Below are 15,065 nucleotides of genomic sequence, written 5' to 3' on the forward strand. Positions count from 1 at the left end.
TCCCCCTGACCCCGAGTTGGGAGATCCTGAGAGTCCAGGACCCTCCCTGTTACTCATTCACTTTCTCGGTTCCCCAGTCTTTCAGCCGCCACGTGAGAGCTCTTCTAACCTCTGTTCCTTTCTGTGACCCCCACGTGGTAATATTGAAAAAACCAAAACAAAACTCCAGCTAAGGCATTGCTCTGACTTTAGGCAGAACATTCATTAGTGGAGCGTGAGATGAGATTGTGTGACTGTTGATGGGATCGACCTACTCTGGTCTTGGGCGATGGAAGTTTTCCCTAAGTGCAAGGCCGGTTACTCTGGTGAATCGTAATTCATACCTGGACACTTGAGTGAACTCTGGGCACCCACTTAGAAGTCTAGAGAATTTCCTCTTTTATGGAGGATTTGATGTCAGACCGTTTTGGGGCTTAGTTAGATTTGAATATATTAGGAACATTAACTTTTTAAATAAATGTAATTTCCTGTCTTTTTGATCAATGGGGGGAGGGCAGCTGTGCCTAATTTAGGATTGATTTATTCTAACCTCTCTTACTAAATAAATGCTTGTATTCAGAGTCTGTTTGGAATTTAACCCAATGCTTAGAACTCCTTAAATATACAGAAATATATTTTAGGGGTAATTGATTCATGGAACTCTCCTACTTTGGAGCACAATTGTATTATAATTGTCCGGAAACTGGCCAGATAATGTAGAACGCACAAGTTGTTGAGAAGCCCTTTTGTTTCCTGATAGTTACATGTAATTCCAGCAGTATTTGGAAATAATTTGCTAAGATGTTAGAATGTAACATTTGAAGACTTGTTAGAAAAATCAATAAAATTATCTTTGGCTAATGGGTAGTACACATCTTAGTCTGTTTAATATGCCTTTCCAAAAAAAACTGTGTCTGTTGAGAATTGGTGTATATAACTACATGACTTTAATAATTAGTGCCTGAGTCTAGAATTGAGATGTTTAGTCGTAAAAAAAAATATTGTTCGATAAACAGCGTTGACTTGTCTTGTACCACTTAAGAGTTTGTGAGTGCTTTAAATAAAATTAGTTGATTAAGTATTTTTTTCCTATGATTGACATGCTTAGTTTTGCCTTTTTATTGAAATGTGTAAAATTTGGTTTTCTGGCATCTTAACAAATTAGGTGGTAAATGAATGACAATGGATTTTCTATTATTTTTCAGTATTGTGATCAGTATAAGTATATAAGAGAATTTAGTAACCTTTTAGAAGAATAAAGTGCCCTTCCCAAATAGTCCTACAGCTTTTGGAAAAGTGTAAATTGTAGTTTGTAGTTCTAAATAAATAGAGAAGAGTCGCAGCCACGTGCTAGGGCCAGCTGACTTCATTGCTGACAGGTATGAAGCCAAATGGCTTATGTAGTTATGGAATATGTACATGAGCTATTAATAAATATTATCCATGTTGTTTCTTTCAAGTGCTTTATTTCTTGGCTCTGGGGAGGGGCGATGGGGGAAGGGAGGAGCTTACAAGAAAGCTTGCAAGGTTTCTTTGAAGCTGTGCTTTTTGTAGGAAAGTTTCAGGATGTAACGCCTTGGTAGACGATACTGTGATACATTTGGTTACAGGCAGTAACAGTTTGTTAGGATGTTGGAAAAATTTGATTTTCTCCTGTTGTAGAGGGAACAGGGAAGTGTGGACATACCCCATAGCATAACTTGATTTGTTGCTAAGATTGTCATAGCTGATTTGTTAGTCAATAAAAATACCTGGGGTGTTTGCCAAGTCATAAATTTTTATTAGTTAAATTTGAGGTGATTCTGTCCCCTATTCAGAAAGATGACAGACTCCAGGTAACTGACGGAACAGATCTTGATCTTGCTTCTTGCTTAAATGAAGGTTTAGAACATCTTCAGATGCAGGCACATTTATTATTGTTCATCTGAATAATTTTGGTGAAAATTTTTTTGCCTCTTATGTACCATTTTGTCCCTGGTGTTTTGGTTCTGTTTTCCTTGATGTAGGCTTTTTTTTTTTTTTTTTTTTTGTCTTCCTGAGATGGAGTCTTGCTCTGTCTCCCAGGCTGGAGTGCAGTGGTGTAATCTCAACTCACTGCAGCCCCTGCCTCCCGGTTACAGGGAAAAATTCTCCTGCCTCAGCCTCCTGAGTAGCTGGGATTACAGGCGTCCAGCTAATTTTTGTATTTTTAGTAGAGACGAGATTCCACCATGTTGGCCGGCCTGTTCTTGGACTCCTGACTCAGGTGATCCGCCTGCTTTGGCCTCCCAAAGTGCTGGGATTACAGGTGTAAGTCATCGCACTCAGCCGATTTAGGCTTTTGAAAAAGCAATACTTGTTGATTTCTTTTAGTGTTAGTTTGCCAGTTGGTGTGGAAAATGACTGTTGAGACAATTTTGACCACACATGATACTTCACACATACTGACAGGAAGTGTTCCAGGTGGCTGAATATGTGAATGTCATATGGCAAGAGAGCAAACCCGTGTTCCATAGAAGCATACCTCCAACAGTAAGCATTTATATGGCACTGGCTTATAGTCTTCCTTTTCATTCACTGTGCTCTCAGTCAACTCTTCTGTCAATTTTTTTGAGACGGTCTTGCTGTGTCACCCAGGCTGGAGTGCAGCGGCACAGATACTTGGCTTACTGCAGTCTCGACCTCCCAGGCTCAAGCCTCCTGCCTCAGCATCCACAAGTAGCTGGGGCTACAGGCGCTTGCCAACAGCCCGGCTCATTTTTGTATTTTTTGTAGAGATGGGGTTTTCACCACGTTGCCCAGGCTGGTCTTGAACCCCTGAACGCAAGCAATCTGCCCACCTTCAGCCTCCCAAAGTGTTGAGATTACAGGTGTGAGCCACTGCACCCGACATTTAAGAATGGTTAAGCAGGCCGGGGGCAGTGGCTCACGCCTGTAATCCCAGCACTTTGGGAGGCTGAGGTGGGTGGATCACCTGAGGTCAGGAGTTCGAGACCAGCCTGGCCAACCGACATGGTGAAACCCCTGTCTCTACTAAAAAAAAATAAATAAATAAATTAGCGGGATGTGGTGGTGCATGCCTGTAATCCCAGTTACTCGGGAGGCTGAGGCAGGAGAATCACTTGAACCTGAGAGGCAGAGGTTGTAGTGAGCGACATCACACCACTGCACTCCAGCCTGGGCAGCAGAGCAAGACTCCTTCTCAAAAAAAATAAAAAGTTAAAAAAAGAATGGTTAAACAAATGAGTGTCTTAGGTCAGTTGTATTATTTGAAATCTGTGGGTTCCTCAAGCGTAAAGTTGAGAAGGTTTTGGGAACCACTGGATGCCTCTGGTTTTTTTCATATGAAGAAACAGGGGTGGTGGCTTCTTAGAACAAAGGGATATCTGACCTATGGAGGTGGCCCTCTTTACTCCTCTTCCCTAAAAAAATGACCTATCATTGCCAATAGCTAAAGTCTGTCATTTTTTCCACCTTAGTTTGGAAGATAATCTTCTAGTATCAATCAAGACAGAGATCAGAATGATGTGTTTTAAAATTAAATGTGTAATTCATAATTGTACATTTTAATATTCTAAAGTGACATTGATTAATTTGACATTGGAGTCAAATAGATTGATTAATTCAACAAAGAAGAGAAGGCGTTCAAGTCAACAGAAAACAAGTAGATTTTACTTCTCCACTCGGGGTATTAGGACATTAATTGTGTAATTGGTCTTACTTGTTTAGTAGTAGATCTATATTGAGTGTCTTACTGTGCCCAAACTTAGGATCTTTCTATATTTCTAAAAGGATGAAACTGTATAATAAAAACACCTTCCAATTTTGGTAGATTGTAGACAGATCAGAGTATTCAAAAGTACACACATCTTCTCTATTGTGAAAGACCAAAAAATGGAAATGTGTTGTGAAATTAGAAAAGCTGTATACTAGTATGTCTGATGTTGTGAGAAGCTGGATTTTTGAAACCAGAGTTGTCTATTCAGCCTTTTATCAGTCTGTACTAAGTTTGATGTCCATAGGTACATAATATAGGGAGATACATAAAGGATAAAATTAAGTGAAGTTACATATTTTATACCTATTAGGTAGGTGCAAAAGTAATTGCGGTTTTGGCAAAAACCGCAGTTACTTCCACACCAGTCTAATATTAAATGGAACTAGAGTCAAATAGAATTTAGCGATTGCCAGTTCTGTTCCACAGATTTCAAAGTACACTAAGGAAAATTTCAGCAAATTGTGTATGGCTGTTTTACTTGGGGGAGAGTAAAACAGCCATAATAAACTAAAAAATAAAAATTAAAACTAAAGGAACATTTGTTTTTATGTTTTTCTTTTCTTTTCTTTCCTCTTTTTTGAGATATGCTCTTGCTCTGTTGCCCAGGCTGGAGTGCAGTGGTGCAATCACTGCTCACTGCAGCCTTGACTTCCTGGGCTCTGGGAATCCTCCCGCCTTAGCCTCCTGAGTAGCTGGGACCACAGGTGCATACCACCACACCTGGCTAATTTATTTTTCCTCTCTCTCTCTCTTTTTTTTTTGAGACAGAGCTTTACTTTGTCGCCCAGGCTGGAGTATAGTGGCACAATCTCAGCTCACTTGCAACCTCCGCCTCCTGGTTCAAGTGATTCTCCTGTCTCAGCCTCCCAAGTAGCTGGGAATACAGGTGCATGCCACTATGCCCGGCTAATTTTTGTGTTTTTAGTGGAGATGGGATTTCACCATGTTGGCCAGGCTGGTCTTGAACTGCTGACCTCAGGTGATCCACCCGCTTCGGCCTCCCAAAGTGCTGGGATTACAGGCGTGAGCCACCACGCCTGGCTTCCTCTCTCTTTTTCTGAAACAGAGTCTCGCTCCATTGCCCAGGTTGGAGTGCAGTGGAACCATCTCAGCTCACTGCAGCCTCCACCTCCCAGGCTCAATAAGTCCTCCTACCTCACCCTCCCAATAGCTGGGACCACAGGTGCATGTTACCACCCCCAGCTACTTTATTTTTTTTTTGTTTTCTGTAGAGACGGGGTTTTGCCATGCTGCCTGGGCTGGTCTTGAATACCTAGGCTCAAGTGATCCTTCCTCCTTGGCCTCCCAAAGTGCCAGGATTACAGGTGTGACCCACCATGCTTGGCACGCTAATTTTTTATTTTTACTTTTTTGTAGAGATGGGGCCTCCCCATGTTGCCCATGCTGGTGTCAAACTCCTACTCCATTATGAAATAAGTCATTCCTTATGAAACACTTAGTAATTGTATCTTTAAGTTGAACCTTCCCCTCACCCCAACTTTTTTTTTTTTTTTTTTTTTTTTTTTTTTGAGACAGAGTTTTGCTCTTGTTGTCCAGGCTGGAGCGCAATGGTGCAATCTCGGCTCACTGCATCCTCCGCCTCCCAGGTACAAGCTGTTTTCCTGTCTCAGCCTCCCAAGTAGATCAGATTACAGGCATGTGCCACCACACCCGGCTAATTTTTTTATATTTAGTAGAGATGGGGTTTCACCATGTTAGGCTGGTCGTGAACTCCTGACCTCAGGTGATCCACCTGCCTCGGCCTCCCAAAGTGCTGGGATTACAGGTGTGTGCCACTGCACCCCGCCTTTTTTTTTAAAGACATAGTTTCACTCTGTCTCCCAGGGTGGAGTGCAGTGGCACAATCTTGGCTCAGTACAACCTCCACCTCCTGGGTTCAAGTGATTCATGTGCCTCTGCCTCCCGAGTAGCTGGGACTACAGGCGCATGTCACCAGGCCCGTCTAATTTTTGTATTAGAGACAGGGTTTCGCCATGTTGGCCAGGCTGGTCTCGAACTCCTGACCTCGAGTTCCCACCTTGGCTTCTCAAAGTGCTGGGATTACAGAAGTGAGACACCGTGCCTGGACCCGCCAACCCATTTTGTTTTGATTCCTTTATAAATTAGTATAATGGAAGGTTTTTTTGTTTGTTTTTTATAACAGGTAATGAAATACTCTAATTCAGTAAATATTGATGCTTCTGGGGAGATGTGTGTGTGTGTGTGTGTGTGTGTGTGTGTGTGTGTGTGTGTGTATATAATAAATTTTTTTTTTTTTTTTTAGGATGGAGTGTCACTCTGTCGCCCAGGCTAGAGTGCAGTGGTGCAATCTCGGCTCACTGCCAGCTCCACCTCCTGGGTTCACGCCATTCTCCTGCCTCAGCCTCCCGAGTAGCTGGGATTGCAGGTGCCCGCCACCACGCCTGGCTAATTTTTTGTATTTTTAGTAGAGATAGGGTTTCACCGTGTTAGCCAGGATGGTCTCGATCTCCTGACCTCGTGATCCGCCCGCCTCGGCCTCCCAAAGTGCTGGGATTACAGGTGAGAGCCACTGTGCCCGGCGAAGCAGCGTCTCTTTTTAAGGTTGTAAGGTAGCTTGGGTTAGAAATAAAGGCAGAGAGCCACTCCATACCTGTAGTTCTAGCTACTGGGGAGGCTAAGACCAGAGGAATCTCTTGAGCCCAGGAGTTCAAGGCTGCAGTGAGCTGTAATCACACACTGCACTACAACGTGGGCAACATAGAGTGAGACCTAATAAATAAATAAATAAATAAATAAACAAATAAATGCAAGGAGAAAGTCAGGAACTTGGTGCATTTAGGTGTACAATTAGTTGGCATAAACAATTTTTTTTTTTGAGATGGAGTTTCTCTCTTGTTGCCCAGGCTGGAGTGCAGTGGGGCAGTCTCGGCTCACTGAAACCTCTGCCTCCTGGGTTCAAGTGATTCTCCTGCCTCAGCCTCCCGAGTAGCTGGGATTACAGGTGCCCGCCACCACGGCCAGCTAATTTTTGTATTTTTAACAGATGGGGTTTTGCCATATTGGCCAGGCTGACCTTGAACTCCTGACCTCAAGTGATCCGTCCGCCTCAGCCTCCCAAAGTGCTGGGATTACAGGCGTGAGCCACTATGCCAGCCAAGAATTTTTAAAAAAGGAGTTTCATTCAGCCCACCTCATTCCTCTGCAGGGCACCTGTGTGCAGGGCAAAACTGCCCAACCCTACTCAGAAGCCCTGTGAAAGCTGCTGAAAGGATGAGCAGATTGAGGCCTGAACTGTATCTTGGATTTAGCAGCCTGGAGGTCATAATGGATTTTGCCAAGAGTGATGGGGCAGAAATTGGACCAGTGTGTGTTAAGGAGCTAGAAGAAGTGAAGAAATGGGAGAGGGGAATCTAGACAACTTTAGTTTGGCTGCAGCAAGTAAAGGCAGATTGTTTGATGGAGGGACGTGTGGGATTGATGGAGTTTTTCCTTTTTATATGTTTTTGTATTTTTCAATGGAATACATTAGAAAGTGTTGCATGTTTATGGGGGGGATTTAGTTCAGTGGGAAAAGTATTTGAAAAGTTACAGTAAGGTGGAAGTAGATGGAATCCTCAGTAAGGTCTAGAATCGGGTACAGGTATTTTATGGTATCTTCCTCACCCCACCCCGAGACGGAGTTTCGCTCTTATTATTGCCCAGGCTCTGGAGTGCAGTGGTGCAGTCTTGGCTCACTGCAACCTCCACCTCCTGGGTTCAAGCGATTCTCCTGCCTCAGTCTCCCATGTAGCTGAGATTACAGGTGCGCACCACCACACCCAGCTAATTTTTGTATTTTTAGTAGAGATGAGGTTTCACCATTTTGGCCAGGCTGGTGTCCAACTCCTGACATCAAGTGATCCACCCGCCTTGGCCTCCCAAAGTGCGGGGATTACAGGCGTGAGCCACTGTGCCCAGCTGGTACCTTTTTTCTTGTTGGTGAAGTAGAATGTGTGTATGGGGAGGGGAGGTGATAGGATATTTTGGAATTTGAAGAGAATGGGAATGTCTGGATAGTGCATGTATAGAATGGGAAGTAAACACTGGAGGACCTGGGAGTGTGGTGCTTATTGATGGATCGTTGGGTTTATCCAGGATTGGGGTTTTGCCAGATGGGTGTGATGAGAATCTTAAGAGTTAAGGGTATAGGCAAGAGTGTTGTTGAAATGATACACAATGAAATCTAAGCTGGTTAAAGAAGTGAAGAAGGGGCCGGGCACGTTGGCTCACGCCTGTAATTCCAACACTTTGGGAGGCCGAGGCGGGTGGATCCCTTGAGGTCAGGAGTTCGAGACCAGCCTGGCCAACATGGTGAAACCCCGTCTCTACTAAAAATACAAAAATTAGCCGGGTGTGGTAGCAGGGGCCTGTAATCTCAGCTACTTGGGAGGCTGAGGCAGGAGAATCGCTTGAACCTGGAGGTGGAGGTTGCAGTGAGCCAGTATTGCACCACTATACTCCAGCCTGGGCAACAAAGTCAGAGTCTGTCTCAAAAAAAAAAAAAAAAAATGAAGTGAAGAAGGAGGAGAATACTTGGATTGGGATAAAGTAGAAAGAGTCACTGGATTAAAGTTAACTAAAAAACTCATAAACTTTAGAGTGGTATTGAGAAATTGTAGGGTGAACTGAAAAAGGCTCATGGGATTTTAGAGCCAAGAAGGCCTTGAGTGGCAGTTCCTACCTTAGTAGGAATAGCTTCAGTGGTGTGTTGCAGGTGGAACCCAGATTAAAGTGGGTTAAAAAGTAAATGAAGGCAAGGAAGATAAATTTTTCAACAGGTTTGTCTGTGAAGAGTCCAGGCTATTAGATTGATAGAGGGAGAAAGGCAGTTAAAGGGTTTTTTTGTTTTTTGTTTTTTTTGAGTCAGAGTCTCACACTGTTGCCCGGTCTGGAGTGCAATGGCGTGACCTCGGCTCACTGCAACCTCCGCCTCCGGGGTTCAAGTAGTTCTCCTGCCTCAGCCTCCCAACTAGCTGGGAATACAGGCGCCCACCACCACACCCGGCTAATTTTTTGTATTTTTAGTAGAGACGGGGTTTCACTATGTTGCCCAGGCTGGTCTCAAACTCCTGACCTCATGATCTGCCTGCCTCGCCCTCCCAAAGTGCTGGGATTACAGGCGTGAGCCACCGTGCCCGGCCTTATTTTCTTAATTTTTAAATTTATTTTATTATTATTATGATTATTTTTGAGATGGAGTCTCTCTGCCGCCCAGGCTGAAGCGCAATGGTGCAATCTCGGCTCACTGCAACCTCTGCCTCCCGGATTCGAGCGATTCTCCTGCCTCAGCCTCCTGAGTAGCTGGGATTGCAGGCGCCCGCCACCACGCCTGGCTGATATTTGTATATTTAGTAGAGACGGGGTTTCACTACATTGGGCAGGCTGGTCTTGAACTCCTGACCTCATGATCCACCCACCTTGGCCTCCCAAAGTGCTGGGATTACCAGCGTGAGCCACCGCACCCGGCCTTTAGTTTTTTTTTTTGAGACGGAGTCTCGCTCTGTCACCAGGCTGGAGTGTAGTGGCACGATCTTGGCTCACTGCAAGCTCTGCCTCCCGGGTTCAAATGATTCCCCTGCCTCAGCCTCCCAAGTAGCTGGGACTACAGGTGCGTGCCACCACGCACAGGTAATTTTATTTTTTCTATTTTAGTAGAGACGGGGTTTCACCGTGTTGGCCAGGGTGGTCTCAATCTCCTGACCTTATGATCTGCCTGCCTTCGCCTCCCAAAGTGCTGGGATTACAGGCATGAGCCACCGTGCCCGGCCATTTTTTGTTTTTGTTTTTGTTTTTTTTAAAGTAAGACTTTTGAGAGTGCTCATATGTTGATGATGTGATAAGCAGTAGTAAAATGGGAGATTTTGCAACGTACAAAAGAAACAGGCCGGGTGCAGTGGCTCAAGCCTGTAATCCCAGCACTTTGGGGAGGCCAAGGTGGGCGGATCACGAGGTCAGGAGATCGAGACCATCCTGGCTAACATGGTGAAACCCCGTCTCTACTAAAAATACAAAAAATTAGCCGGGCGTGGTGGTGGGCGCCTGTAGTCCCAGCTACTCGGGAGGCTGAGGCAGGAGAATGGCGTGAATCCGGGAGGCAGCGAGTCGAGATCACGCCACTGCACTTCAGCCTGGGCGACAGAGCGAGACTACATCTCAAAAAAAAAAAGACAAGACATACCTTGGAAAATGGGGGGAATAGACAGATGATTTCTATGGATAGGAGGTTTATTTGTTCCATTATGCGAAGATGATGGGAAGAAAAGCTGTATGTGCAGATGCAGGTGAATTTGTGGATATATTAGAAGGAAGATGACAGGCAGTGATGGAGTGTTGAAGAGCTCAAACATTAGACAGTACTGGGTCTGAGTTCTGACTCTGCCTTTTGCAAGCTGTGCAACCATAGGCCAGTTATGAAACCTTAGTTATCAAGTTATAACTAATAGGATTGTGTTGAACACGAAATGACATGATAAACATATGTAAACTGCTTGGATCAGTTGCCCACTAGCTCTTGTTAGGAGCTAAAATGTTAGCTCTTGCTGAGGGTGCTGTCAAATGGCTTCTGTTTCTCATGGAGCAGAAATCTATAAGGTCATCCACTGGTAGTGGTGGGAGAAGGAAGAAGGTGCAGAAAGTTTTACAGATGTCTTGGAAAGGAAAGAAACCTGGTGAGGGAAATGTGGGCAGCATCAGAGGCCCACTTGAAGTCAGAGAAAAGGAGCATTGGGGCATGGAGGTGAGGGGGTACTTTCTTCAGCTTTTCTCTGAAGACAATTGTGCATGTGAAACAAGGGTTAAAATCAGATCTATTGCCCTCCTGGATTTATTGGCTTCGTTTGCTCTTTCTGGCTAATTTGATTGGAGTTCTGAAAGTAGAGAATATTAGAGGTTCCTTGGAAGGAAAATAAGCAACACTGAAGTCAAATCTTTATCATGTTTGCTGGAAATGTTATTAAAAAACAAAATTTATGGCCGGGTGCAGTGGCTTATGCCTGTAATCCCAACCCTTTGGGAGGCTGAGGTGAGTGGATCACTTGAGCTCAGGAGTGCGAGACCAGCTTGGGCAACATTTTGGGAATGTTGTAGAGAATGGGACAAAAAAATACAAAAGTTGCTGGGCGTGGTGGAGTAAGCCTGTGGTCTCAACTACTTGGGAGGCTGATGTGGGAGGTTTGCTTGAGCTCGGATTGCACCACTGCACTCTAGCCTGGGCGACAGTGTGAGACCCTTTTTCAAAACAAACAAGCAACTTTTTTTGAGCTACAGTATATTTAATGGTTTTAAATATGAGTGCAGAGTAAGAGGGAGTCCAGTCCATAAGATGACCCTTGCTTCTAATACTAGTTGCAAGTTTGGGGGTTCCCAAGACCACTCTTTTTTTTTTTTGAGACAGGGCCTCTCTCTGTCACCCAGGTGAGAGTGCAGTGGCATGATCACGGCTCACTGCGCCCTGAACTCCTCCCTCCCAGGTTCAGGCAGTCCTCCTACCTCAGCCACCTGAGTTGCTGGATCTGTGGGCACACACCACCTCGCCTGGCTAGTTTTTCTATATTTTTTAGAGACAGTTTCACCATATTGCCAGGCTGGTCTCAAACTCCTGAGCTGAAGTGATCCGCCTGCCTGGGCCTCCCGAAGTGCTGGGATTACAGGCTTGAGTCACTGTGCCTGGCCAAGACCACTCTTAGGTTGGATGATTTGCCAGGAGGACTCACTAGAACTCATTGAAAGCTCTCATACCCATGGTTAGAGTTTATTGCAGTTTAGGGATTCAGATTAGAACGAGCCAAGGGTAGAGGTGCATAGGGCAGAGTTCGGGGAAGTTCCAAATGTTGGAGTTTCTAATTGTCCTGTCCCTGTAGAGTTGTGAAAAATGACACCTTCCTGGTGGCACTGGTGTGCGACCATACTCATGGATTATTGCCAACCAGGGAAGCTCACTCTATTTTTTATGTCCAGCGTTTTTACTGGGGTTCCATGGTTGCATGCCCATGTGGCTAACCTTAGTCTCCAGCCCCACTGGAGGCCAAGCTGATCCATGTGACTCAAAGCCCCCACCATAAGCCACATTATTAGACTGTGCTGTGGCCTAAAGCCCCCAGATGAACAAGGACACTTTCCCCCACCGCCGCCCCCCCCCACTTTTTTTTTGGAGATAGTCTTGCTCTGTTGCCCAGGCTGGAGTGCAGTGGCATGATCTCAGCTCACTGAAACCTCAGCCTCCTGAGTAGCTGGGATTATTACAGGTGCCCGTCACCATGCCTGGCTAATTTTTGTATTTTTAGTAGAGACAGTTTTCACCATGCTGGCCAGGCTGGTCTCAGAATCCTGACCTCAAGCGATCTGCCCGCCTTGGCCTCCCAAAGTGCTGGGATTACAGGTGTGAGCCACTGCTCCTGGCCAGGACCCTCTTATTAGGTATGACATTTCAAGAGTTTAGAGATTACCTTCCAGAATTCACAGGTAGAAGCCAGACCTCTCCTTGGTGAAGATACAATTCTTTACAATTTTACAATAGTTAAATATATTTTATCAGTCTATATTGGCTGTTTAGTTGACAGACAGTTAAAAATTGGTGACAGTCCAGATGTGGTCACTCATGCTTCTAATCCTAGCATTTTGGGAGGCTGAGGTGGGAGGATTGCTTGAGTCCAGGAATTTGAGAGCAGCCTGAGCAACATAATCAGACACCTGTCTCCAAAAAACATAAAAATAAAAAATTAGCTAAATGGAGTGGCATGCACCTGTGGTCCCAGCTGTTTGAGAGGCTGAACCCATGAGGTCGAGGCTGCACCCATGAGGTCGAGGCTGCAGTGAGCTATGGTCATGCCAGTGCACTCCAGCCTGGGTGACAGAGTGAGACCCTGTCTCAAAAAAGGAAACAAATCACCCATAAATGGATAATTAAGATTTGGTTATTATAGACACTTAATACTTAGGTAGCTAAGGTAGTTTTACCAATAAATTATATTAATTTAATATTTCAGTATTGCAAAACTGATGCATACTCATTTACAATTTTGACATGGAATGGTTCTGTTTTGTTTTATTAAATTTGAACTTAAAAGTTCTCTGCAAGAAGAGATTTGTATAATAAATTCTCTGAGCCTCTCAAATTAATATTTTAGCCATAGACTCATATTTAGAGCAGTGTTTCTAATGTAATGATACAAGGCCCAGGGTTATTCATAGTTTCACCGTTTCTCTTATTCCTCATTAAAGCATGTTTGAATCCAGGTAAGAGGCATTACAGGGGAAAACCTTGAATTTATTTTTGAAGGGTAAATCATTTCCAAGTGGTATTAACCATTAGTATGGAAAGCAACATATCCTATAACTGCTCTGTGACAGTGAGACTATCTTTGCTGCTTTAGAGAATAAGTACATTCCTACTTCATTGGCTTTAGTGCAAATCTCATTTCCTGGTTTATATCCATTACAAATTAGATCTCACCATGAGAGCAAAATCCCTTAATAAACCTAGGTAAAAGCAATTTGAAGTAATATGATGCTTACTCCAGTGACACCACTAGGTGTGGTGTTTGCATCAAGTCATTTTGGGGTGCTTTATGGAAATGCTTCCTAGTAGGGAATTCCCTGACTTCACACTTTCCAGAGATGATGCTCTCTCTCTTTTTCTCTCTAATACTTACAAGAATGGACTGCAAGGCTACATTTAGTCAGGCGATACCATCCCCAGCACATGGTGGCTTGTTGGTGTGAGGTCTAAGGATTCCGGTCATTTGAAACGAATGGCCTCCTAGATTTGTGGCATTTTTCTGTATATGGAGAATAGGTAACTAAAATAAGTGGTAACTGTATTTGCATGTGATTTGTATGTGATAGTTAACATTTAAATTCTCTTATGTACTAAAATTTTTTTGGTTGCCACATTAAGCCTCTTTATCCTGTAAGGCACAGAGTGTCTTTCCACCTCAATTTTTGCTTTAATGTATGAACCCTAATGGGACCATAGTTCAACTAAAGGCACCTAACTCATGAATGATATTTGCTCCATGTTTGAACAACAAATGTTTTAACCCACTGTCTTCACTAATATTGTAACTACTGTCTTACAGATTGACTTGATGCACAACATCACAAAGGCGATTTTTGAGGTATGAGCTTTAGAAACTTACCTCTCATGTGGCATGTACATCAGGCTTTAACTTCAGTTTGATCGTTTTGGGGAAATTTATGCATTTCTTTTTTTTTCTCTCCATGATATTTTTAGAATATTAAAGGGGCTGTAGAGGTATTTTTGGTTCCTTGCTAGGATTCTTAGACTTAACAGATAGATTTTCTTTTTTCACTAAATTGAGACACTAATTCTGGCAGATGATATCCCTTTCAGCTCTTCTAACTAACTAGCCTAACATTCATGCCTGCTTCTTGGAGTTCAAATCTGCAGTTTCTATTTTGTGGCTTTGATTGCCTCATTTTAAGTGCTCATTTCCGTTCTTCAACAGTTCTCTATTTATTGGACTGGGATGATCTTGTTGGTGCTAACAGCCTGACATTGACATTTTTTGAAACCTAAGCAGTCAAGATTGTATAAAAATAGAAATTTCTTATAAATGCTAAACCATTTTGTGCTTTTAGGTTCAGAATGCTTACAGCCTGAGTTCTGGTTGGGGATGCTTTGATCAATTTGTATTAAAATAATTTGGCAACTAGGGAGTTTTGAGGTATTTCTGAGACGGTGGCTCTATTCCAGTTTTTTTTGTTATATTTCTGAAAACACAGATTTTTTTTGGGAAAAAAATCTCAGTGTTCATAACTTAGGGGATTTAGAAACCTTATTTCTAACCAACGGGGAAGCTGCTCCTGGTTTTACAGTTTAGTTTGAAATCAGAGGCTTCCTAGTTGGAAACACATTGTTGGTAGCAACAGATTACCTGCTTTCTTCAGTGAAGTATTTAAGTTGCTCTATATTGACTGTAAAAACTTGTTTTGATTATATTCATATACTCATGAACTGTTTGTACATTGTCTTTTAGACTGGAAGCTTTGAGTTTATTTTGTATTATGGTCATAACAACTTTTAACATACCCTGCAAACTAAGTGTTTCTTTATAATTCATTATCTTATTTTAGCCTCACAACAACCTTACATGTTAGATAGGTATCATCCTCATTTTATGCAAGAGACAACCAAGGCTTGGAGATCAAGTAATTTGTGCAAAGGCACACATACTTTTCAGTGCTGGAGCTGGGATTTGAGCCCAGATCTTTTTTTAACTTGTATTCTCTGCTGCCTTATGGTACTACTGTGTCACCAGAAAATGATAGAAACATTTAACTCTTAATA

General features: G+C 43.3%; 1 pseudogene across 1 annotated transcript in view, besides 1 other annotated feature; it reads left to right on the forward strand.

The window, feature by feature from the left end:
• SMG1P1 (SMG1 pseudogene 1) overlaps nucleotides 1–15,065 on the forward strand; it is a 55,213-nt pseudogene that overhangs the window by 779 nt on the left and 39,369 nt on the right. The gene's annotated exons all lie outside the window — the stretch shown is intronic.
• Nucleotides 9,272–9,773: an enhancer, noted in NCBI's record as "H3K4me1 hESC enhancer chr16:22458379-22458880 (GRCh37/hg19 assembly coordinates)". NCBI's record gives its function as "activates a minimal SCP1, AML or CMV promoter by ChIP-STARR-seq in primed H9 embryonic stem cells {active_cell/tissue: H9 hESC(primed)}" and the evidence as "EXISTENCE:reporter gene assay evidence [ECO:0000049][PMID:30033119]".

The sequence above is a fragment of the Homo sapiens genome, chromosome 16 (genome assembly GCF_000001405.40).
Source record: "Homo sapiens chromosome 16, GRCh38.p14 Primary Assembly".
Lineage (NCBI taxonomy): Eukaryota > Metazoa > Chordata > Mammalia > Primates > Hominidae > Homo > Homo sapiens.